The 24,353-nt window shown below is 55.1% G+C and overlaps 1 protein-coding gene across 3 annotated transcripts in view, besides 3 other annotated features; it reads right to left on the reverse strand.

Moving 5' to 3' along the window:
- Nucleotides 1–15: 15 nt before the first annotated feature.
- SYMPK (symplekin scaffold protein) overlaps nt 16–24,353 on the reverse strand; it is a 47,738-nt gene continuing 23,400 nt past the window's right edge. For 2 of the 3 annotated variants that reach the window (NM_004819.3, XM_011527354.2), the window contains 18 exons: nt 23,067–23,221; nt 19,684–19,834; nt 15,990–16,194; nt 14,660–14,810; nt 13,576–13,811; nt 12,443–12,524; nt 12,116–12,229; nt 10,832–10,979; nt 9,777–9,937; nt 8,373–8,481; nt 7,978–8,078; nt 7,362–7,452; nt 5,990–6,091; nt 2,565–2,752; nt 1,404–1,580; nt 1,088–1,183; nt 457–789; nt 16–303 (listed from right to left, as the gene is read on the reverse strand). In NM_004819.3, the coding sequence (NP_004810.2) occupies nt 166–303; nt 457–789; nt 1,088–1,183; nt 1,404–1,580; nt 2,565–2,752; nt 5,990–6,091; nt 7,362–7,452; nt 7,978–8,078; nt 8,373–8,481; nt 9,777–9,937; nt 10,832–10,979; nt 12,116–12,229; nt 12,443–12,524; nt 13,576–13,811; nt 14,660–14,810; nt 15,990–16,194; nt 19,684–19,834; nt 23,067–23,221 (2,738 nt within the window). In that variant the 3' untranslated portion in view covers nt 16–165. Of the gene's footprint in view, nt 304–456; nt 790–1,087; nt 1,221–1,403; nt 1,581–2,564; nt 2,753–5,989; nt 6,092–7,361; nt 7,453–7,977; nt 8,079–8,372; nt 8,482–9,776; nt 9,938–10,831; nt 10,980–12,115; nt 12,230–12,442; nt 12,525–13,575; nt 13,812–14,659; nt 14,811–15,989; nt 16,195–19,683; nt 19,835–23,066; nt 23,222–24,353 lie in introns of those variants that run through there. The other variant, XM_047439485.1, reaches the window with a different exon arrangement.
- Nucleotides 1,588–1,657: an enhancer, noted in NCBI's record as "active region_14823". NCBI's record gives its function as "activates an Ori minimal core promoter by ATAC-STARR-seq in GM12878 lymphoblastoid cells {active_cell/tissue: GM12878}" and the evidence as "EXISTENCE:reporter gene assay evidence [ECO:0000049][PMID:35858748]".
- Nucleotides 1,818–1,907: a silencer, noted in NCBI's record as "silent region_10800". NCBI's record gives its function as "represses an Ori minimal core promoter by ATAC-STARR-seq in GM12878 lymphoblastoid cells {active_cell/tissue: GM12878}" and the evidence as "EXISTENCE:reporter gene assay evidence [ECO:0000049][PMID:35858748]".
- Nucleotides 11,309–12,076: an enhancer, noted in NCBI's record as "H3K4me1 hESC enhancer chr19:46329961-46330728 (GRCh37/hg19 assembly coordinates)". NCBI's record gives its function as "activates a minimal SCP1, AML or CMV promoter by ChIP-STARR-seq in naive H9 embryonic stem cells {active_cell/tissue: H9 hESC(naive)}" and the evidence as "EXISTENCE:reporter gene assay evidence [ECO:0000049][PMID:30033119]".

The following is a 24,353-nucleotide window of genomic DNA, read 5'->3' on the forward strand; positions in this document are numbered from 1 at the left end:
GGCACCCGCGCCCCAGGCCCGCCATCCCTTTTTTTTTTTCTTTTCAGTAACTTGCCCAAGTTCACATCTTTTATTTCTTTTTAAGGCAAAGCACCCGCAGGTCAAGCCCCGCCCCGTCCCCCAGCCCCGAGTCCCTGTCCCACCCCCTTTCCCCCTCGAGCCCCGTCAGCTGTTCCCCTTGGCCTCGGGTTCCCTGGCGTCCTCGGCAGCCGGGCTGGGAGTCTTCATAGCATCTTCTCCAACAGGTGCGAGGGTCTGGGGGCTCCGCTCCTCCTTCAAGGTCAGCCCGCCCGCTGCCGTCTCCTGGTGACCGGGGAAGGAAAGGGCAGCCGGGTGGAGGGCGCGGTCACCTCCACGCTCCCCTTCAGGCCCTGCCCCCTGATGGCCCCTCCTCCCCCACCTTCACCCCGGCCCAGATCCGGCTTCTTCCTTCGCAGCGGAGGCTGCTCTCCCTACCTTGGGTAGGGGGCCCTCGAGACTAGAGTCCAACAGCGCGGCCTCGGTCAGCCCCGAGTCGTCATCCATGCTGATGAAGATGCCCGGGGTCTCGCACTCAGGCCCCTCCTCCCGGAAATCCATGGCTTCCTCAGACGGGGGCGGGCCTGGCCGGGCCGACGGAGAGGGAGAGGGGGAGGAAGAGGAGGGGGCTCCCACTCCTCCCGGCTTCAGCTTCTGTTCCTCCTCCAGCTGCCGCTTTAAGGCCTTCTCCTGGGCCAGTCGCAGGCCGATGAGGTCCTGAGGGGGCCGGGGTGCTGGGGCCGGGGCCAAGGTCAGGGGCTCCAGATCATCCTGGGGATAGGGAGGGCCACACAGAAGCTCAGAGGTGGGTGGCTCAGAGGACGGCCGGAAAGAGAAGGAACCACCCTGAGGTGGTCTTTGAGTTCTTCACCAAGAGCATGGGGAGGAAGGGGCAGTTGTCCCCCAGACCCCCAACTCCCAGCAGGAGCATCCCCTGGGAGACGGGTGGCCCAGAGGCAGGGGTGGCCTGAGTCTCTCGGGGTCAGGAGGAGGCCATGGTGAGCCTTGCTGGCTTGGGGTAGGGGGTGGGAGTCTGGGGATCCAGATGGGTGGGCTGCAGGGCCCTCACCTCCTCCAAGGGCCCCGCAGGCGCCTCCTTGGCCTCTGGCTCCTGCTTGCCGCTGGCCTCCAAGATGGTCATGATGGAGTTAGGGATGTGAGCTTGCTGGGTGGAGAGCAGGAAGGGGGCGCTGGGGGCAGCTCTGGCACAGAGACCCCATTTGCACACCTCAGGTCCGGGGGCCCTAACCCTCCAGAACTCCCAGCAGTGCAGGGCCTTCTTGTGTCCGCCTCCATCCAGTCCCCACCAACCAGAGGGACCCAGGGGGCCGCCCACCGCACACCCTGGGTGGGGGGAAAGGGTACCTGGTGGGGGGAAGGGGTACCTGGTGGGGGGTGAAGGAGCGGACATGGGCCAGCAGGGGCTCCCGGAGCTCTGGGCACTTGTCAAAGACGGCTCCCAGCTGCTGGGGCGGCAGCTGCAGGATGACCTGGAAGCTCTGGGGCTTTGTGCGCTGGCAGCACTTGATGAAGCCCTCCCACACCTTGGGGTACTTCCACACCTGAACCAGGGAGGGAGGGAGCCGTCGGGAGAGGCACACAGGCATCCCCCCGAGCCTTGACACTGGGAGAAAGACCTTGCCAAGACCATGCCCAAATCCCACCATCCAAGATTCCTCTGGATGGGCAACAAGCAGCCCCGACCTCCCTCCAGAGGCCTTTGTCTTCCCGATCCAGGCGGCTGGACCACGAGGGCAACTTGGGAAGGGGGTGGAAGAAAACTCAGCCGCCTTTTACCAGAGCTCCCCCTGGGCCAGGCCCAGGCTAAGTGCTGCGGGAGCACCTCTCATGACATTCTCACGGCAGCCTCCAGGGGGCGAAATTACCCCTGCTAAACAGCGGAGGTCCGTGCCGGTGCCGGGACCTGTCCTGGGTCACATGTACATTCTCACCGCAGCCTCCAGGGGGCGACATTAGTCCTGCGGGGTTTGGTTTTTTTGTTCTCTTTTTTTTTTTTTTTTTTTTTTTTTTTTGAGAGATGGTCTTACTCTGCCGCCCAGGCTAGAGTGCAGTGAGTGGCGCGTTTCTTCCTCACTGCAGCCCCAAACTCCTGGGCTCAAGCAGTCCTCCTGTCTCGGCCTCCCAAAGAGTTGGCATTACAGGTGTGAACCATCACACCTGGCCTTATCGTGGTATTTCTAAAGCCCAAATTTCTAGCACCTCTTAAAAAACTGGGCCATTTTTCAGCTCTGGGATGCATCCTGGCCGGGCACACAGCGGTGGAGGGTGAGGAGCAGCCATGCCTCTCCCGGGTGCACACCCCTTGAGGGTTACCACAGCTCCTACCACCCAGCTGCCCTCCCTCATCACCTGGGAGCTGGCCCAGTCATACACCCTGGAGCACTGCTATTTTCTTGGCAGGAGGCAGAGCAGAGCCTGCTGTCCTCCACCGGGCTCCCTCCGGGGTCAGACGGGGGAAGGGGAGGGCAAGCAGGCTAGAAGCTGCTGTCTGCAGCCTGGAGGCGGGGTGGCCGGGGATGGGTTACCTGCTTCATGATGAGGCGGGACAGGATGTTCATGACGAAGCCCCCCAGGCGGGGGTACATGGTCAGGGACTGGATGACGGTCCTCATGAGCAGCATGGGCAGGGGGCTCTGCTCCATCAGCTGCTGCATCACCACGGCCAGCACCTCTGACGTGTACACGTTCCGCTCCGCAAAGCACAGGTTGGTGGCTGCGAGGAGGCGGAGAGTGGGCCTGTCCTCTCTGCCCAGCTGCCCCCTGGGAGGTGGGAGTCCCGGCCTCTGCTGTCTGCCCATGTGAGGGGAAGACTTCTAAAGCCCTGACTTCTAAAGCCCCTGCGGGAGAGAGGAGACTCCCCCGACCCAGCAGAAGGCACACTGCAAGCCCCGCCCTTGGAAAACCTGCAGGCTTGGTTCAAGGGAGAAGACATCCAACTCCAGGAAGCCCCAAAATGGGTGGAACAGGGAACCCGTGGCCCCTCACTTTAAGGACGACCTTGGGAAAGATGTGTTGCCAAGCCCTGGGGGAGTGGCAGGGCCCCCCACCCCTGCTAGGGAGGGAAGGCAGCTATTGGTTTCTACCAGCCCCTCCAGAGAGAACAGCAGTCCACAGACCAGCTTGTCAGAGGGCCAAGGGACTGCCCACCCAGTCCTGACAAGGATACAGGGCTTGCGCTGGTGCTGGGAAGATGGGGGGTGCCAGGCTAAGGGCTGTGTTGGGCATATGGGCACAATCAGAGTAATAGCGAAGGGAGGGACAAGAGAAGGCTGGGGCCGGGGCATACGATGACCCCCCGACTCAACACCCAGTGCCAGTACCAGTAGGACCCAGAGGGTTGGCACAGCACAAGCACCCATGAAGGCAGGCCCTGGGGTCTGTTCCCCGAGTGGGTGGCCATGCCCCAATCCACAGTGCTAATGGGAGGCCCCAGGAGCTGCCTTTGAAGCCCTTCCCCAAACACCACTTGCCATGTGAGTGTCAACCAGGAAGTCTTTATTGAGCCAGAAGAGCACCCCAACCCCCCAAATCCTTGAGAGGCTAATGGAGAACAGGGGTGGGGTCTCTAAGGGGGGGGGCGTAGACAGGTGGGGAGGAGGCTGAATGGGCAGAGCAGACAGTGGAGGTGAGGACCTGCCAGAAACCGAGGAAGCCCCTGCTCCTCGTCAGGGCCAGGTGGTCACTGGTCCTGCCTGCTCAGCCACCCCAAGGCTCCAGAATCACCCCTCCCCTCTTCCTTCCCTGTCGGCTTTGCCCCAGCCCCCCACCTGGGCCTCCCCCGAGCCTCCGATCCATTCTCCATATAGCAGCCTGAAGGGTGTTTTGGAAAGCTCAGACCTGACTTGCCTCCCAGAGACCCTCAAGAAACAAGGTCAAATTCCCACCTCGGCCTGCGAGACTCCTGTGTGGGCAGGCCCCAGGGGCACCTTTCCCAATGGCGACAGCCTGACCTCCTCCCTTGACCAGGCCCCCTCCTTCGTCCCCTAGGTCCAGAACCAGCCAGCAAGCACCTCCCTCGGTCCCTGCAGTCTCCTGCTGCTGCCGCCTACTCATCCTTCCTTGGTCTCAGCCTGAGTGTCCCCTTTTTCGGGAAGTCTTCCCTGATGTCCCACACCCAGGCTGGGTTACATGGCCCCTCTGGGCTGCCCAGTCCCAGGCCACCCCTCTCAGTTGTTACTGGCCAGGGACTTCTTGTCTCTCCCTGGACTGTAAGCCCTGGAAGGACAGGGCTAGGGCTGTCTTTCCTGTGTCCCCAGCACTACCCAGGATGGATATGGGTGAGCAGAGGTGCTGACTTTTCTTAATGCTGGACTACCAGGAGTGGGTCTAGTTATAGACAAGCTCCCCAGAGGAACAGGGTGGTCTACGGGGGAGTGAACAGTGCACAACAAAAGGACTCGACTTTGTGATCTGGAGCTTAGAGTGCAACCAGGAAGACTGCTGGTGCCTGAGCAGGAGAAAAACTTGGGTTGGGTGCTGGGGACACCAGCTGGAGGGTTGTCTGGCCTGCAGCGTGCACGCCTGGGCGTGTTGAAGGGTGGGGTGGTGTAGGGTAGGCCCTGCTGACCCCTCTGGGGGCCTCACTCCTGGTGGCCTGTGTGGCCTCTGGCAAGGCCCTTTCTCCTGGGCCAAGGATCTTCAGGGGCCTGGCTCCTGGTGGCCTGTGTGGCCTCCGACAAGGCCCTTTCTTCTGGACCTAGGATCCTCAGGGCTTCTAATCTGGGTCCACAAATGGCCTTGGGGTGTGTGTGTGTATGTGTGAACCCCCTCAAACTGTATGCAAATAATATGAGCATACTGTCCTGGGAATGGGCTAGAACTTTCCTCAGATCACCAAAGGGGTCGGGGAATGTGAAGACCACAGCCCTGGCCTATGAGCCTGGAGATCTTTCCTCCCTGCTGGTCTCCCACGAGAGGCCTTGGTGCCTCCTGGGTTTTATAATGTGGGTTTGACATTTCCATAAGCTGCTCTCTTGACCTTAAACGTTTCTCAGAGAACTTGCAGAGGAAGGTTAGGAAGTAAGTCACTGAAAAGCTGTTTCAAGCTAGAACACGAAAGTAAGCAGCACAGAGAGGAAGCCCCTTCCCGTCTGAGGGTGAGAAGAGAAATCAAAGGACAGCAGTCTTCTGAGTATAGAGGGCGACAGTGAGGGTGTCCAGCTCCGTGGGACAGGATGGCTCCTGGCCCAGAAACCTTGCTCAGGAGGGATGGAGGGGTGGGCGCTCTCAGGGGAGGTGGTCCTTAGACGCGGAACCGGCAGAGCTGGGATTCCCACCCAGGTCCGTTTCACTTCAGATTCTGTTTCTTCTACCACACCACTTAGCTTCTGCTTGGCCCTGAGTAAGTCACCTAACCTCTCTGGAGCCTCCATTTCCTGTCTACACAATGGAAGTGAACATACCCACCAAGTGGCGGACCAGCAGGCTCAGGCCTGTAGGCGTTCAGGGAGAGCCCAGCGCAGAGTGCTCAGTGAGTGGGGGCCATCGTGAGGCGGCCAGTTCGTCACCAACCCTGCCGCCCTGCAGGCAAGCTCTCCTGCCTCACCTACCCTGGCCCACAAGTGCCCTGGAGCCCTGGGTCTGCCCTGCTGCTGCGCCTCTACCACTCACGGTGTGCCCTGCTTCCTTCTGTTCCTCGGGGCTAGGGGTGGGGCTACCCAACTGCTTTAGGCCCACTCTGTGCCAGGGCACAGCAGGTACATCAGAGGCAGAAAAAGGTGGGTTGTAAAGGGTAAAACCTGGGAGGAAGGAAGGAGGAGGGAGGGAGGGAGGGAGGGAAGAGGAGGCAAGAAAAGGAGGGAGGGAGGGAGGTGGCTCTCCAGAGCTCTGAGGTGGGGCTGTGAGTGACAGTCTTTGACTTGGCAGATTCCAGTGGGGGCATGTGGGTGACTGAGGTCCTGCCCTGGCGTCGCAGGGGCCAGGCCACTGGAGTGGGGGGGAAGCGCCTCACCTTTGATGATGGATTTCATGTCGCACTTCACGGAGTCAATGTTGTGTAATGCGATCAGGAGCTCTCCAGGGTTCAGCGGGGACAAGGCTGAGTTTCCCTCACCTGCAGCAGGCGGGAGGAAGGGTGGGGGAAGACAGTGCGGACGCATAAGTGAAGAGATGGGTCTGAGTTCCCCAGATCGGGGGAGCTGCGAGCAAAGATGAGGTGCCCTCTGCTTTCAGGGCTGGAACAGGGGAAGCGACTGACAACATAAAAAGGGGACACCGAAGGCAGCAGCAGCCCTCAGGCAGCGTGAGGTTGCCACTGTGTGCTCCTCCCCATCCTGGGCTCCCACCCTGGGTAGCGTGTGGCACGGCTGGGTCTCTCTGCCCCTGGGCTGTGCACCCCCGAGGGCAGGGTAGGACCACCTCCTCGTGTGGTCCCCAACACAGACTCCACCGCGGCACAGGGGGTCATGGGCATTTGTGGCACAGGGCAAGATGGAGCCAGGCTACAGGCTTCCAAAAAGTGGCTGGAGCCTTCTGCTGTGTGGGGCCTGGGGGAGTGGAGGGGAGGCTGGTGGAGTGGCTCTTTGCTGCTGCTATTTTGATGGTCCCAGAGCCATCTATATGTGTGTTTTAAACCACCAGGGTCTGCGTGGAACAGACATCCTCCATTTTTTCTCTAGCACCAACCACTGGGGTAAGGGTGAACAATCCCTTGCTAGTTTTTCTAAGTTGAAAGTTTTGCTTCTTTTTTTTTTTTTTTTTTTTTGAGATGGAGTCTCACTCTGTCATCCAGGCTGGAGTGCACTGGCACGATCTCCGCTCACTGCAAGCTCCGCCTCCCGGGTTCATGCCATTCTCCTGCCTCAGCCTCCCGAGTAGCTGGGACTACAGGCGCCCGCCACCACGCCTGGCTAATTTTTTGTATTTTTAGTAGAGACGGGGTTTCACTGTGTTAGCCAGGATGGTCTCGATCTCCTGACCTTGTGATCCGCCCGCCTCGCCTCAAGTTTTGTTTCTTTTTGACTGTGTCAAAACGAAATGCCCCTGGCCCACAGCTTGAGGGATTCGGGCAAGATCTGAGGAGGGGCCAGACTGGAGCCGGGCCTGAGAGGGGCTGGTGTGTGGCCAGATCCTAAAAGGGAAGATGCTGCTGGAGCCTCCGCCCCTAGCTCCACGGTCTTGCCCCTGCTGTGAATGAAACCATCATAAAAATATCCCAGAGGGTGGCCTGGGAGCTCCGGGACACATGGAGATGTCCAGTACAGCTGGTGTCCCAGGGAGCAGGATGTGCCCTCTCTCCCTGAGGGGGGTGCCTGCACCTTGCCTTCTGCCCCAGCACCTGGGGTGGGTGGGCCTCTTGGTGGGGATGAGGCTGCATCACCTACCATGCTGGGTGCCCAGCAGGCGGTTGAAGACTTCCTTCACCACGATGGGGTTGAGTTTGATGAGTTTAGGCAGGGCCTGGATCACCTCTTTCTACAGGGAGAAGGTGGTGGGGGTGGGAGTTGAGTCACATACACCCTCATTTCCCTTCTAGACAAGCCACCCCTTCTGCTCGCCCTGGGGAGCTGAGGGCAAGCTCTGGCTCACTGAGCCCCTCCTACCCTCACCACACCCTCAGGGCGGAGCTTTCTCCCCAGCTCTCACCCCATCTGAGCCCCCTGCATGTCACATGTGTGTGCCCCCAAGAGGCATCCTGATCCTTGTCTGACAGAGGAGAAAAGCGAGTCTCAAAGAGGGGAAGGGACCTGCTTGAGGTAGAGGAGGAAGCAGCAGAGCCATTGGCACCCGGGTGCCCATGCAAATGAGGCCAGGAGCTGCTCCGCATTTCCAGGGTACCCAGGTGTCGGCGGCTTCCATGACTTCTGACCACAGGCAAGGTGCCTTCTGCCCTCTGCTATGTGCCTCTGGCTCAACTGCTGCTGAAGCAACGTGCTGCCCTGCCCCTCCCAGTCCCACATGTCCCAGGTAGCAGGGACAAACAGGCCTCCAGCTCCATACCTTCTCCAGCCCATTGAGCACCGGGATGAGGAAGCGGACGTCTGGCAGTCGCTTGTGGTAGAGATCCCGGACCCGCTTCACCAGCTCTGGGGAGGGTGGGACTGCATGGAAGCAGCAGGAGGCACCAAGTTGGAGGCGGAGGGGAGCGTGGGAAAGGGTGGGCACCCAGGAAAGAGAAGCAGGCAGGTGTGCAGGAAGGGATGGCAACTTCACCCTTGGCTGCTCACGTGCAATTAGCACCACACTGTTCCAAATGGAGAAACTGAGGCCCTAGGACAGGCACAGACCCGCAAGAGGTACGACCATCTGGGGACCCAGCAGCTCAGATCCCCAGGGCCCGGGGAAGGCTAAGGAGAGGGAGGAAAGCCATGAAAGGTGGGGGTCTCCAGGGTCACCTTTGTCTGTGAGGCTGTGCAGACATCTCGTGACCAGTGTCTCTGCTCCCTTGGGACAATTTTCCACCAGCAGGAGCAGCTCCGGGGAGTTCATGCCCATTCCTCGGATCTAGAGGCAGAGACAGGGATGACCAGACCCAGGGTGAGAGCTTAGGGGAGGGTCAGGTGTTGCCCGGCAGGGTGGCTTGCGGGGCATGCTGGCGCCCAGGGTGAGACTGAGGTGACAGGGTTTGGAGGGCGGGGGAAAGGTGGGGAAGGGCAGGAGAGTCAGAAGAACCTTGGCATCTCCCTGCAGCTCCTCCAGACATGGGCCTGCTCCAGCTCCCAGCCCTGGCTGGGCTGTCCTCCTGCGGGCCACTCCTCTGTGGCTCAGACTTGACCTGACCTCGAATGCCCACCCTGTGCTTCGTTCACTGGTGAAGATGTTTCTGGCTCCACCCACCTGCTTCGTGACTCGGTTTCTCAGGCGCAGCTGGCTTGGCTGCGAGCCCAGACCAGGCTCCACCTGCTGCTGCTTCCTGAGCCTGCTCTGCGGTGAATGCCAAACAGGAGCCAGGGCCAGGCTCCACCTCTGCCCAGTAACGTTTACGCTCCTGACTAAAACCGACTGTCTCTGCCCTCGAGAAGCTCACAGCCCTGCCAGATAACTTTTCTGCAAAGTGAGATCACTTTTCCACAGCTGGACCACCTTGAGAATGGGGCTAAAAATCTGTTTCCTCCCAACTACAAGCCTGTTATCCCCATTTTCCAGGTAAGGGCCCCACTGAACCCAAATGGCAGATAGGTGGGGATTAACATACACTTCTCTCTCCCGTTTATCACGAAAATGTTCTGTAATCCAAAAATGTCAGGGGCAGAAAGAAAAAAAGTGGTTTCAAATCCTGCTGCAAACTGGAAGAGCAGACCTTCTAATCTCAGGTGCTAGTCTGTCACTGAGCTGCTTCTCATGTGGGCAGACCTGTGCCTCTAGAGAGAGGGGCAGGAAGGACTTATGTTTATGTAATGACAGCTAAAGAGTCCCGTTAGCAACACTGGGAAGGCCAGCTCATAAAGTGACAGTAACACAGAGGTTTATGTGCCTGAGTTCATGGACTCCTTGCATCAGCGTGGAGGGACTGGAACGTCTTCCCCATTTTTACTGACGGGCCCAAGGTCGCAGTGAGAAAGCGAGAAGTGAACGCGAACCCAGGTCTATCAGCTCCAGGCTCCTAACTGCCGGGCCACTTGACGTTTCCTCAGGAGTGACATGCGGACCGCCTGCAAGCTACACAGCCTGGGTCGGCCCGGGGTGACCACCCTTCGGGCTTGGCACACTCTGAGGTGGAGCAGGTTGGGGAAGAGCTGGAGCTGGGGACACAGCCTTGCCCGTGGGTGGGCAGGGCCTGGTGGGCTCAGGGGCCTCACCGGCTGCTCAATGACCCTCAGCACCGTCCGCTTGATGTCGGCGATGGCTTCAGTGTACACGGCCGCCAGTTCGTGGATCAGCTTGTGGTTCTGAGGCAGGAGGGCCAGGTAGAGGTACAGACACTGCTTCACTGTCTCCTCCGTCCAGGGTGCTGCCACCTCTGACAGGGCAGGAGCGGGCATCAGATTGGCCCACACTCTTCTCCAACCCCCTCGGACCCTCAGGAATGTCCCTTCTTGGGCAGTGGAGCCGGGGAGGGCAGAGAAGGGAGCCGGGGCTGGGGAGCTAATTGTTCTAGGGCAGGGAAATGGCGGGGACCAGGACTTCCCACCTCCAGCCTCCCGTGACTGCCAACACACAAGGCAACTAGAAGGATCTTTCTAAAGTGCGATCCTGACCCTGTCCCTCTCTGGCTCCAATCCCAGCCATGCCTGCCCTGTGGCCTCAGAATAAACCCCCAGCTCCCTGCCTCACACTGTCTGCCAGGTGTTGTATGGGGTGGCCCCGGCCCGCTGCTGCTCTGCTGCCCTCCATGTTGGTCACATACCCATTCTAACAGTCCCGAGGGCCCTGGTCTCTTTGCCTTTGCATCCACCCTCCTCTTTGCCTGGTCCACGGCACCTGCTCAGCTTCTGGGCCTCCCGAAGGCTGTGCATCTCCTGGGAATGCTTCCTGGCACCTGGGCCAGGCCTCCCGTGCTGCCCTATCATGGCCCAAGCCTTCCCATTTAATGGTCCATTTACTCGGGGTCTGAGTCTACCTGTCTGTAATCCAGGGCTCTGCTGAGGGAACCTGCCTGAGATGGCCCTGCCTGGTCCTTCCTCAGGCCCCACCGATGGCTGGCTCTCCTCGTCCTCCAGATCTCTCTCCCTGACCCCCCAGGCTGGGCCAGATGCCCCCTACCCTGACTCCCACAGCCCCCAGGTGGCTGTCCCAGTCCTGCCCATTCCCGTCACTCGTGTCCGAGTGGCTTCCCCACTCATCCCCTCTGCTCGCAGGGCCCAGAGCGCGGACACAGCAGCGCTCAGTATGCATCTGATGACCTGTGCCCAACCTGTGTCCTTGTCAGCTCCAAACAGCACAGACGGTGGGTTGGGGTGCACCAGGAGCTGCAGGTAGTTGAGGGCAAATTTCTCCACATACTCCCGCAGCTGCTCCTTCTCATACATGCGTTTGATGAACAGCAGGGCCTGGGAGCGCACCTGAGGAGGAAGATGGAGAAGGGCAGGGTCAGGGAAGAGGTAAGAGGAAGAACAGCTATTCCTGCGAGCATGGCAACACTCACGTGAAAACAAGCCCGAGGCTGAGAAGGGGCAGCCCAGCTGTTACCAGGGCCCAGGGCTGGTCCCCAGTGCAGGAGGCAGATATCCTGGCCAGGGCCGGACCCGCAGCACCACCTCACTGCCTGCCTCTCCAGCCCATCTGCCCATCACTGCTTCTTGCCTTGCTCACTAAGCTCCAAGCAGAGGGAGAGCTCCTCAGTTCCTTAAAAGTGCCACTCCCTGCCAAGTCTCCCTAGAACGTCTACTGCCAGCTAAACCCTGTTTCACTCAGATATCATCTGCCAGGAGCCGTGAGGGAAGGGTCTGGTCCTGGGCACTCTGACCCCAGCAGCAGCACATGGCCATGGCCAGGGCCAGGGCCAGGGGTGTGAGATGAAGGTCTGCTGAATGAATGAAAACGCTACCCAGCAAGGGCTGGGGCAAAAGGCTGCAGGCAACGATGGGTCAAGGGCGCTCTCAACCACAGCACGTGCACATCTGTCCCCTCTGTCTAGAGCACACCCAGCTACTGATTTTCCAGGTCTCAGCGTACAAGTCCCCTCCTTGAAAGAAGCCTTCCTTGAAACACCTCCCCTGCCCACCCCACAACCAGATGGTCGGCCCCTCCCTCCCCAGGGCAGCCACACACTGCTCTGCTCAGCTGCTGAGCACGCTGTGTCCTCACTGCTGGCTGAGGCCACACCGGCTCCCCTGCTGGGCTGGGCAATGCCCTCAGGCCCCGGCACAGGACTGGGCTGCACGAGGAGCCTGTGCTGGCCACCACGGGTGGACTAAGAGCGAGAGTGGGACTGCCCTTCCCAGGAGGGCAAGCGCACGTGTGTGTGTGTACACACTACAGGCAGACTCAGGCACGGTAACCCTGGTTTCTAGGCAGCTTGATGCCACTGAAAATGAAAATAAAACAGACAGAAATAGCCAAAAAACCACTGAAAGAAGGGAATGGGCCCAGAGAAACTTGCAAGGGAGTGTGGAAGACGTGGGCTGGTTACTCAGGATAGAGGCGGCCTCTGCAAGCTGCAGGCTGAGGGCAGCCAGGAAGTGGAGGAGGGGATCACCTTGTCCTTCTCATGGGAGCTGAGGTCGAGGAGGACATGCAGGTACTGGAACTGGCGGGACGGGCGCTTGAAGATCAGGTCTCGAAGTGTGGACATGCCCAGATAGGTGCGACTCTGCAGCAAAAGGAAAGGGACCCGAGCTCAGCCCACCTGAGTGTGCCTCTGGGCTCTGTCTTTCCTGCCTGCCTCTGATCAGGTACCTGGACAAAAGGGCCCGGTCCCTCACAAAACCCCCGGCCACAAGGTTTAGACTGTGTGCCCTTCAGACCCCTCAGGGCAGGGCCCTGTCCCCTGCCCCGGGCTGCACTGACCAGGGCCTGTCCTCACCTCATCCTCGCAGTACTTGCGGACCACCTCCAGGGCACTCTCTGTGATGAGTGGCGCCTCCAGCACAACCTTGGTGAAGATCCTGCCAGAGATGGAGGGAGGGCCATGGCTGCAGAGGAAGAGGCCGCCTGGCTCCCGGGCCCTGCTGAATTGTAGGAGCTCAGGGCCAGCAGGCCCTCCCTCAGGGGCTGCTTGTTCAAGCCCCTGCTTATAAAGCTTTGGAGGTGAACAGAACAGGGTTCAAAAGCTGGCGGCTGGATGATCTGGGCAGAGACTGCACCTCTCTGAAACTCATTTCTTCCGTTTGTCAAACAGGGATTCCTAACTTTATTCACTGAACATAAGAACGGGAGGGAATGATGGCGGGTGGAGAAGGGTGTGGGTATTTTAGATATGGTGGCCTCAAAAGGCCGCTTTGAAGTTACAGTTGAGTACACTGGTGGATGAGAAGGAGCCACCCACACATAGAGTTGAGGGAAGAGCATTCCAGGTGGACAGAACAGGAAGCACCAGCGCCCTGAATTTGACATGTTCGAGGAACAGACAGAAGGCCAATGTGGCTAATGTTCGGGGGGTAAAGCCAAAGAGATTGGGTCACATAAGGCCTCACTGGTCACAGTAAGGAGGCTGTGTTTTATCCCAAGACCAATGGAGAACCATGGAAGGTTCCTTGTGGGGAAGTAATAAAAGGATTTATATAATAAAATGTTCCTGGAGCTGCTGTGTGGAGGATAGACGAGTAAGCTGGAGGCCACGGATAGGGAGGAAGCTACAGAACCAACTCAGGTAGTGAATGGGGTGTAGAGAAGTCTATCTCCAGGCCCATGGGTGAGCACTGTTATTTACAGATGGGAAAATGGCAGAGAGAGGGAGTGACAAAGCCACGCAGAGCAAGCTCAGAGCAAGTGGCAGAGCTGAGGAACAGCTCAGGGAGTGCGACCTGGAGCCCACATGCAAAACTACAACCTTGAACGTGCCTCCAGAGGGGGAGGAGGAGAGGAGACTTGGGATGGGTGCGAGGAGGACTGACTCGGGGGGTGACGAAGAGGGAGGTGGTCGCAATCAGAAAGGGAGGGCAGCACCAGGAGAGGAAGCCTCTCGGGGACAGGAGGGTGCAGGGTCAGCCCCCTCACCCATCCTTCTGGTCTGGTTTCTCCTGCAGGCCAGACAACAGGCGGATGAGGCAGTCCTCATACTTGTCCAGGGAGCCCGAGGCACCTGCGGCCAGGTAGGCGTTGTACTCCTGGTAGAGCCAGGCGAAGGCCAGGTCCAGGCGGGCCCGCACATCCTCCAGGATGAAGGACAGGACCTCCGCCTTCAGGCCCGAGTTGAACTGTGTCACCAGGCTGGCCAGGATCTTTATGCGGACCTGGTGGGAGGGTGAGCCAGCATGTCAGTGTAGGGTGGGCAATCCAGGGACTCCGCAATCGTGCCCTGCGACTTCTCCCACCCAGACGCAGGAACTCTCAGAGCAGACAAGGAGTGAAGCGAGGAAGGCCAGCCGAGGACCCTTATGCCTAGGAAGGTCCCGTTTGTGTGTTGGGGGGTGGGGGTACCAGGGTGGGGATCGATCATCACAGAATAAAAATGAGTTTCTAGGAGCAGCACCCATGTACTTAAGTGCACAGAAAAAGATCCTCAAAGATTCCCCTCATTTGTGCCTTTGTCACCTTTGAAGAGAGGGATGGGGTGCAGGTGATGGCCACGGAAGAGTACTGGATCTGGATTCCCCGGAAATATTTTTCAGCTCAGGGAGTATGTTCCTATACTACTGGCTAATCAACAATTAACTTCACAGAATGGGGAAAAAGTCACTTTTCCCCATTCTTTGAAGGTAACAGTGCCAGCAAGTGGCAGAATCAGGACAGAGAACCAGGTATATTTCTAAAGCTAAATAGTAACAGTAAGAACGTTAACAACCGTGAAGAACCAAGACCACAAGAGCAGCCCTCACTTGCAGAGGCCTCCCAGCACCTGCCCTGTGCACCTGAGTGCCTGTGCTCATTGCACATTTCCTCCTCGTCACCCAGGAGGAGCTGCTGCTACTGTCTCTGTTTTATGGAGGATGGGAGTGATCTGGAGAAGCGGCTGTGGGCAGCAGAGCTGGGGTCCGCAGCCAGGGAGGTTTGACGCCAGGGCCAGACTCTTCGCTGGATGTGAGGTAGACGTTTGGGTAGAGGGACTGGAAGGATGGGGTGGGGGGTGGCAGGCGCACACCTGGGCTGCCCCGCTGCAGGCCACAGCCTTCTCAGCCCGCAGGATCCGCTTCACAGCGCCCAGCTTCATGGCTTCCACCTGGGCATCGGTAAGGGGCTTCAGCACGTCGCTGAGACGGAAAATTTTCTTGCGCCCACCAGCGCCTGCCAGCCTGTGTGGAAGAGCAGTGACAGAGATGCAGTGACCCAGACTGCAGCAAAGGCCTGTCTGGTGACTCTCCCAACTTCAAGGACTAGGTAGGCAACAGAGATGGCCCCCATCCCCCTGCTGCCTCTCCAGTTCCTCTGTGTCTCTGAGGCACGGTGTGGCGGTGGGTAAGAGGAAGGAAGAGGATGTTATTTTGGTTTTGCAGAGGGCGTCTTACGGAAGGCTTCTGTGAGTGGGGATCTGAACGGAGGCAGGGACAAGATACACAAATGTCTGGGGGACCAGCTCTCCAGGCAAAGGCCCTTAGGTGGGAACAGACTTGTGGGCACGAGTGGAGGAGGGGTGAGGGTAGCAGAAGAGAGCTCGGAGGGTAGCAGATCCCGCTCAGCTGTGTTAGTAAGACTTGGGGCTGGGCACGGTGGCTCACGCCTGTAATCCCAACACTTTGGGAGGCTGAGGCAGGCGGATCACGAGGTCAGGAGATCGAGACCATCCTGGTTAACACGGTGAAACCCCGTCTCTACTAAAAATACAAAAAATTAGCCAGGCGTGGTGGCGGGCGCCTGTAGTCCCAGCTAATCGGGAGGCTGAGGCAGGAGAATGGCATGAACTCGGGAGGCGGAGCTTGCAGTGAGCTGAGATCGCGCCACTGCACTCCAGCCTGGGAGACAGAGTGAGACTCCGACTCAAAAAAAAATAATAAATAAATAAATAATAAAAAGACTTGGGTGGCCGGGACTGGCTGGATTTTGTGGTGTGTAAGGGAGGTAATAATGGGGACAATGATGATGACAGCCAGTAGCATTTACTACACAACAGGAACCACGCGAAATGCTTGACAATCACAATCACTTTTCACTCGAGTATCTAGTTACCTAACCATCACCATTACCACGAACTAATTTAATTCTTCTTTGATCCTTATGAGAAAGATACTATCATTATCCTAATTTTAGACATAAAAAAGGATTTTTTTTTTTTTTTTTTACAGGAAAGAGAACAGCAAAGGCTTAGTGGTTATGGCACTGACTCGGGAGTCAGAGAGAACCTATTCCAGACTTCCTTCTGTCTGCATCTCAGTTACACACACACACGCACACGCACACGCACACGCACACGAGCTGAGAACCAGACCTTCAGGGTAGGGCTCCTGTCCTGCCCTAGCACCCAGAAGAGGACTCACCGGGGCTGAGTGACAGGGATAATGGGCTCTGGCCTCCTCTTGGCCTGCGGTGCCTCTTCCTCCAGGGGGGACATGGAGCTCAGGGAACCCACCACCGAGATGGCTTGGCCCTGGGCTGACAGGCGCCGCTTGATCAGGACGCTCTCTGTCTTCACCACCTTCTCCTCCTTGGGCTCCTCCTTGCACTGTTTGGTCTGCTCTACACCTGAGGGGGAGGCAGCAAACAGACACCCAGTGCGTCAGACCCACCTGCTCCAACCCGAGGACCTCCTGTGTGCCTGGCTCTGTTCTGAGCCCTGTACACACAAAACCTCGTTTAAATCCACACAACACTGTCCTGGAGTGGGTACTCTTTTTATCCCCACTTTTCAATACAACTGAGGCTCAAACTAGAAATGCCATTCATTGCTGGGGGGAGCAGCAAATGCTACAGCCACTTTGGAAACATGATGAGCAGTTTTTGTTTTTTAGACTGGGTGTCACTCTGTCACCCAGGCTGGAGTACGGTGGTGCAATCAGGGCTCACTGCAGTCTTGACCTCCTGGGCTCAAGCAATCCTCCTGCCTCAGCCTCTCAGCCTCCCAACTAGCTGGGACTACAGGCGCATGCCAACATACCTAGCTAATTTTTGTATTTTTTTGTAGAGATGAGGTCTCCATATGTTGCCCAGCTTAGTCTTGAACTCCTGGGCTCAAGCGATCCTCCCGCCTTGGACTTCCAAAGTGCTGGGATTACAGGTATGAGCCACTGTGCCCAGCCCTCAGCTGTTTTTTTTGGAGACGGAGTCTCACTCCATCACCAAGGCTGGAGTGCAGTGGCTTGATCCTGACTCGCTGCAGCCTCCACCTCCTGGGTCCAAGCCATTTTCCCACCTCAGCTTCTGGAGTAGCTGGGATTATAGACACCCACTGCCACACCCAGCTAATTTTTTTGTTTTCAGTAGAGACGGGGTTTCACCACATTGGCCAGGCTGGTCTTGAACTGCTGACCTCAGGTGATCCACCCGCCTCAGCCTCCCAAAGTGCTGGGACTACAGGTGTGAGCCACCACACCCAGCCTGTAGCAGTTTTTAATAGCACTGATCACACCCTATGACCCAACGGTTCCACTCCTTGGTATATGCTCAAGACAGATGACAGCATGTGTACATGAAGAGAGTTGGACACAAATATTCACAGCAGCTTTATTCCCAATGGCCAAAAACTGGAAAGAAGCCACAGGTCCATCAATACCGGTGTGGATAAACAAATGATTGTATATTCATATGACAGAATACTACTGAGCAATAAAAAACCAACTAGTACCTCACACGACAACAATGAAGAATCTCAAAAATGTACAGCAGGCTGGGCGTGGTGGCTCACACCTGTAATCCCAGCACTTTAACAGGCCGAGGAGAGTGGATCACCTGAGGTCAGGAGTTCGAGACCAGCCTGGCCAACATGGTGAAACCCCATCTCTACTAAAAATACAAAAAAAAAAAAAAAAAAAATCAGCCAGGCATGGTGGCACATGCCTATAATCCCAGCTACTTGGAAGGCAGGAGAATCACTTGAACCCAGGAGGCAGAAGTTGCGGTGAGCCGAGATCATGCCATTGCACTCCAGCCTGGGCGACAGAGTAGGACTCCATCTCAAAAAAAAAAAAAAACCGTGAAAAACAAAAAATTAGCTGGGAATGGTGGCAGCGGGTGCCTGTAATCTCAACTACTCGGGAGGCTGATGCAGGAGAATCGCTTGAATCCAGGAGACAGAGGTTGCAGTAAGCCAAGAAAGTTCTGCTGCACTCCAGCCTGGGCCACAAGAGCAAAACTCCATCTCAAAAAAATAAATAAATAAAAATAAACAAACAAAAAAACACAAAAAACCATATGGCAAGCCAGAGAAACCAGACTTTGTGATCCTATTTAGTTTTGTTCAAGAATAGGTAAAACTAGGGCCGGGCGCGGTGGCTCACACCCGAAATCCCAGGACTTTCGGAGGCCAAGACGGACAGATCACAAGGTCAGGAGATCAAGACCAACCTGGCTAACACGGTGAAACCCCGTCTCTACTAAAAATACAATAAAATTAGCTGGGCATGGTGCCGGGCACCTGTAATTCCAGCTACTCAGGAGGCTGAGGCATGAGAATGGCGTGAACCCAGGAGGTGGAGCTTGCAGTGAGCTGAGATCGTGCCATTGCACTGCACTCCAGCCTGGGCAACAGAGTGAGAATCTGTCTCAAAAAATAAAAAATAAAAAAATAAAGAATAGGTAAAACTAGTCTATGGAGGCAGAAATCAGAACACTGGTTTTCTCTGGAGTTCAATGCCCTGAGGCATCTCTGGAAGAACAAGGAGGAAATTTCTACAGTGGCAATGGTCTATAAATCCGAAACTTTCTGAGTCTCAACAAAACACAAGGGTAAAATTCCACACCTGACCTCGTGTGGATAGATGGCAGTCAAAACATCATTTCATGAACAAAATTATTAAGAAATATTACAGGTCCAGTGCGGTGGCTCACGCCTGTAATCCCAGCACTTTGGGAAGCCAAGGTGGGCGGATCACAAGGTCAGGAGATTGAGACCATCCTTGCTAACACGGTGAAACCCCGTCTCTACTAAAAATACAAAAAACTAGGGCCGGGTGCACTGGCTCACACCTGTAATCCCAGCACTTTGGGAGGCCAAGGCGGGTGGATCACAAGATCAGGAGGTGGAGACCATCCTGGCTAAGACGGTGAAACCCCCGTCTCTACTAAAAATACAAAAAATTAGCCGGGCGTGGTGGCAGGCGCCTGTAGTCCCAGCTACTCGGGAGGCTGAGGCAGGAGAATGGCGTGAACCCGAGAAGCGGAGCTTGCAGTGAGCCGAGATCATGCTATTGCACTCCAACCTGGGTGACACTGCAAGACTGTGTCTCAAAAAACAAAACAAAACAAAAGCTAGCCAGGCGTGGTGGCATGTGCCTGTAGTCCCAGCTACTCGGGAGGCTGAGGCAGGAGAATCATTTGAACTTGGGAGGCAGAGGTTGCAGTAAGCCGAGATTGCACCACTGCACTCCAGCCTGGGCAACAGAGCGAGACTTTGTCTCAAAAAAAAAAAAAAAGAAAAAGAAATATCGTATATAATTACCTTTGAGCTATGTTTAGCTCATTATGAGCTAAACATAAATGAATTTCATGTTTAGACTTGGATCCCATCCCTAAGATACCTCATTATGTATATGCAAATACTCCAAATCCAAAGGTCTGAAATCTGAAACACTTCTGGTCCCAAGCATTTTGGATAAGGGATATTTAACCTGTATCTTGATCTGGGTGATGGTTACACTGGTGTGTTCACTTTGTGAAAATTCACTAAGGTCTATAATTAAGAGTTCTGCATTTCACTTATGTGTATCACACATTAATAGTACTGTTAAAACAGGGTAAAACTATGAAGCTCAGAGAGGTTAACTAACTTGACCAAAGTCATACAGATATTAAGTGGATGAGATCTGATTCAACTCAAACTTCAAACCCAGGTCTGTTGGATTCCAAAGCCCAGGACTTAAAAACACTGAGCCATCTATCTGTGGTACCTGTCATTATCTACACCTTAGCTCCCACATGATTTTCAACTGCACCACGAGAAGTTGCTCTTCCAGTAAGGAGAACCCAGAAGCCACAAGTGCCAATCCCTGGCCCAGGTTAGGGCCAGGACACACTCACCTGGTCCCAGTCCGGCAGCTGTCATCTGTGTGGCCATGAGCCGAGCCAGGTGCTTGATCTGGGCTTCCGTGCCTGCTGACTCCACGGGGGTGTAGATGGCCTGGAAGGAGGCTGGCATGGCCTCGGGTAGGTACACCATGCTGATGAGGACCTGTGGGATGCCCAGGAAGAGAGCCTCTCCTTAATCATTAACTCAAGAAGCATTCTTTCCATGCCCATGCCAATACTGGGGAAATGGCAGTGCCTAAGACCGACTTGGGCCTGCTCTCCTGGGGCCCAGCCTCTTCTGGAAGTCACAGAGAAAACAAATAATTATATAGTGTAGTGCTTGAGAGGGTAACATGAAGGGCACTGTGAGCCACAGCAGGAGCCAGGCAAGGCAAGGGCTCCCTGTGCAAGAAGCACCTAGGCTGAGAACTGAGGGGAGGGCAGGAGTCAGCATAATACAGGACAAGGTTTTGAGGTGGGAGGGGTGTGTATTCCCCGTAGAGAAACACCATGGGAGAAGGCTAAGAAGCAGCAGAGCTGGCACCCTGTCCAGAGAACAAAAGAGGCCAGGTGCAGTGGGTCATGCCTGCAATCCCAGCACTTTGAGAGGCTAAGGCAGGTAGATCACTTGAGGTCAGGAGCCCAAGACCAGCCTGGCCAACATGGTGAAACCCTGTCTCTACTAAAAATACAAAAATTAGCCTGGCGCAGCAGCATGTGCCTGTAATCCCAGCTACTCGGGAGGCTGAGGCAGGATAATTGCTTGAATCCAGGCGGCAGCAGTTGCAGTGAGCCGAGATCGCGCTACTGCACTCCAGCCTGGGTGACAGAGCAAGACTCCATCTCATTCATAAAGAAAGAAAGAAAGAAAGAAAGAAAGCAAAAAGAGGTTCAGTGAAGAGTGTTAGGACTGGGAATTGACTTCAAATAACAAGCAAACAAGAAACCCCCCAGAATCCTAACAGAGAACATCCATGGATGTCAGGAATTAGTAACAAAAGATAATTTCCTTTTTATTTATTTATTTATTTTTTGGGACGGAATCTCACTCTGTCCCCCAGGCTGGAGTGCAGTGGCACGATCTCAGCTCACTGCAACCTCTGCCGCCTGGGTTCAAGCAATTCTCCTGCCTCAGCCTCCCAAGTAGCGGGGATTACAGGTGCCTGCCACCGCACCTGGCTAATTTTTGTATGTTTAGTAGAGATGGGGTTTCACCATCTTGCCCAGGCTGGAAAAGGATAATTTCAAACTTCCTATACATTTGAAGCTTTAAAAAAAATTTATACTGGGCACGGTGGCTCATGCCTGTAATCATAGCACTTTGGGAGGCTGAGGTGGGCGGATCACGAGGTCAGGAGATCAAGACCATCTTGGCTAACACAGCGAAACCTCATCTCTACTAAAAATACAAAAAACTTAGCTGGGCGTGGTGGCAGGCACCTGTAGTCCCAGCTACTCGGGAGGCTGAGGCAGGAGAATGGCGTGAACCCGGGAGGCGGAGCTTACAGTGAGCTGAGACTGCGCCACTACACTCCAGCCTGGGCAACAGAGCAAGACTCTGTCTCAAAAAAAAAATGTATTATTTTTCTTAGAGACAGGGTCTTACTCTATTGTCCAGGCTGGAGTGCAGTGGCGCCATCAGAGTTCACTACAGCCTCAAATTCCTGGGCTTAAGCAATCCTCCTGCTTCAGCCTCTCCAGTGGCTGGGATCACAGGTACATGCCACCATGCCCGGCTAATTTTTTTATTTTTCTTTTTGTAGAGACAGGGTCTCGCTATGTTGCCAAGGCTACACAGTGAACTTTAAATGCACACACTAAGTAATAACTAATTAGAACAGAAAGATAATGAAACTGCTATAAATTAAAATTGTGGAATACAGCTAAAATAGTACTCAGATGGAAAATCAAATCCTTAAATGCTTGCTTACATTGGAAAAGATAACTAAAGATTAATGAGCCAATCACTTAAAACCGTGGGAACAAACATTCAAAGAAAGTAGCAGGAAAGAAATAAAGGCAACAGAAATAAAACAGAAAAAGTGCCAAAAGAATATGAACAAAACAAAGAGCTAGTTATTTGAGATGACTGAAAACAAGCAAATATTTTGCAAGATTGGACATAGTAGTAGCAACAGAAAAGGGGCACATTACAAACATATGGTATTTTATACTATGAATAGCAGGCATTTTTATAAATGTTGATGAGCAACTTCATGGCAAAACTGAAAAGGTCAATTCCTAGTGTGTGATAAGACAAAAGGTAGAATGGCCGGGCATGGTGGCTCATGCCTGTAATCCCAGCACTTTGGGAGGCCATGGTGGGCGGATCACCAGAGGTCAGGAGTTCAGACCAGCATGACCAACATGGTGAAACCCTGTCTCTGCTAAAAACACAAAAATTAGCTGGGTGCAGTGGTGGGCGCTGGTAATCCCAGCTATTCGGGAGGCTGAGGCAAGAGAATCACTTGAACCCGGGAGGCGGAGATTACAGTGAGCTGAGATCGCGCCACTGCACTCCAGTCTGGGTAACAAAGCGAGACTCTGCCTCAAAAAAAAAAAAAAAAAAAAAAGACAAGTTAACAGAAGCCAGATCAAAGATGGCTGACTAAGGCAAGTGGAACTTAAATTTTACTTGAAGGAAGTTGGAGCCAGGTAGCAAGTGAGGGTTGGGCTTCAGGTGAAAAGGGTGGGCCTGGCCCAGGGTAAGTGCTACAGGGGTGGAAAAGAGGGCAAGGATTAGGGAGAGAAGGAAAAGAGGTTCACTCCCAGGTTTCTGGTTTGGGAACTGGGAGGGGCCTGGAGAGGAGCGTGGGGAGAAAGTGGAAAAGTGTAGTTCTGCCACATGAGTCTGAGGTGCTCCTGGGACGTCCAAAAGGAGGATGATCAGAAGCGGGTTGCATACCCAGGCCTGAGGCTCACTGATGTAGTCTGGATATTTGTTCCTTCCCGAATCTCATGTTGAATTACAATCCCCGATGTGGGAGGTGGGGCCTGGTCGGGGGTGTTTGGATCATGGGGGCAGATCCCTCATGGCTTGGTGCTGTCTTCAGGATAGCGAGTTGTCACAAGATCTGGTCATTTAAAAGTGTGTGGCACCTCCCTGCTCCCCAACACTCCCTTTCTCCTGCTCCTGCTCTGCCACACGAGATGCCTGCTCCCCCTTCACCTTTCACTATGATTGGAAGCTTCCTGAGGTTTCCCCAGAAGCTAAGCAGATGCCAGCACCACGCTTCCTATACAGCCTGCAGAACTGTAAGCCAATTAAACCCCTTTTCTTTATTAATTAGGAGGGTACTCTGGAGGAGGTGGATGGTGTGAAGTGGAGGCAGGTGAAAGACCGAGGAGATCCTTCCTTCCTGCCCAGGGGGAAAACGCTCCCCACCCATCCTCACCAGATTAGCCACATTATCAGGCGTCAGCAGAGGCTGCAGGAACTCAGCTGTGATGTCCGTGTCTGACTGGCCGGAGATCTGCGCTGAGGCCTTCGAGGTCCCCGACGGGCCTGGCTCCAAGTCTTTGTCCTCATCGTCCTCCCCCAGGTTGGGCTCTGGGATGAGGGAAAAGAACAAGATGCTGGCTATAGAGAGAGCTGCAGGCCCTCCATCCTTCCGGGGTGCCCGGGTGGTCCCTGCCTCTAGTCAGCCTCAGCAAACAGGAGCAAACAGCGGATGAAGATCCAGGCTGCAGCTCTGCCTCTGGTGCCAAACCACTTTATGACCCTGGGCAACTACCTGACTCGTTCTGAACCTCAGATCTCCTGATCTGGGAAATGGGAGTAAGCCACACCCCTGCAGCTTATCATAAGCTCTAAGAAGAGATTATTATTATTACTATTTTTTGAGACAGTCTTGCTCGTCACCGAGGCTGCAGTACAATGGCATGATTTCGGCTCATTGTAACCTCCGCCTCCCAGGTTCAAGTGATTCTCCTGCCTCAGCCTCCCAAGTAACTGGGATTATAGGCATGCGCCACCAGGCCCAGCTAATTTTTTTGTATTTTTAGTAGAGATGGGGTTTCACCATGTTGGCCAGGCTGGTCTCAAATTTCTGACCTCAGGTGATCCACCTGTCTCAGCCTCCCAAAGTGCTAGGATTACAGGCATGAGCCACCACGCCCAGCCTGGTGCAGTTTTTTAGAAGGCACTTTGGTAATGGCTATCAAGAATGTACACTCGGTACCTAAGGGCACACCTGGGCTCAGACCTTGATTTCTGAAACTATTCCCCACTTAAAGGAAACCAGGGTTCCTTAAAAAGAAAGACTGATTCCAGGGCTGGGGCAAGGACAGTACAAGAGGAGTCTAGAACATCTTGTCATGCTAGTAAGTAAGTGAAATGCTCAAAACAAATTCCTGATAGTAAGTGGGAAGAAGAAGAGAAAGTTCTTCCTTACAGCAGAATGTCAACTGATAAATGTAGAAGGAAAATCTCTTTGGAGCCAGTATAGAATAATAGACTCAGGCAACAATCATCACTGGATGTTAAAACCACTGGGTGAGGCTGGGCGCAGTGGCTCACACCTGTAATCCCAGCACTTTGGGATCATGAGGTCAGGAGATCGAGACCATACTGGCTAACACGGTGAAACCCCGTCTCTACTAAAAAAAATACAAAAAATTAGCCGGGCAGATGGCGGGCACCTGTAGTCCCAGCTACTCGGGAGGCTGAGGCAGGAGAATGG

Source organism: Homo sapiens, chromosome 19 (genome assembly GCF_000001405.40).
Source record: "Homo sapiens chromosome 19, GRCh38.p14 Primary Assembly".
NCBI classification, from domain to species: domain Eukaryota; kingdom Metazoa; phylum Chordata; class Mammalia; order Primates; family Hominidae; genus Homo; species Homo sapiens.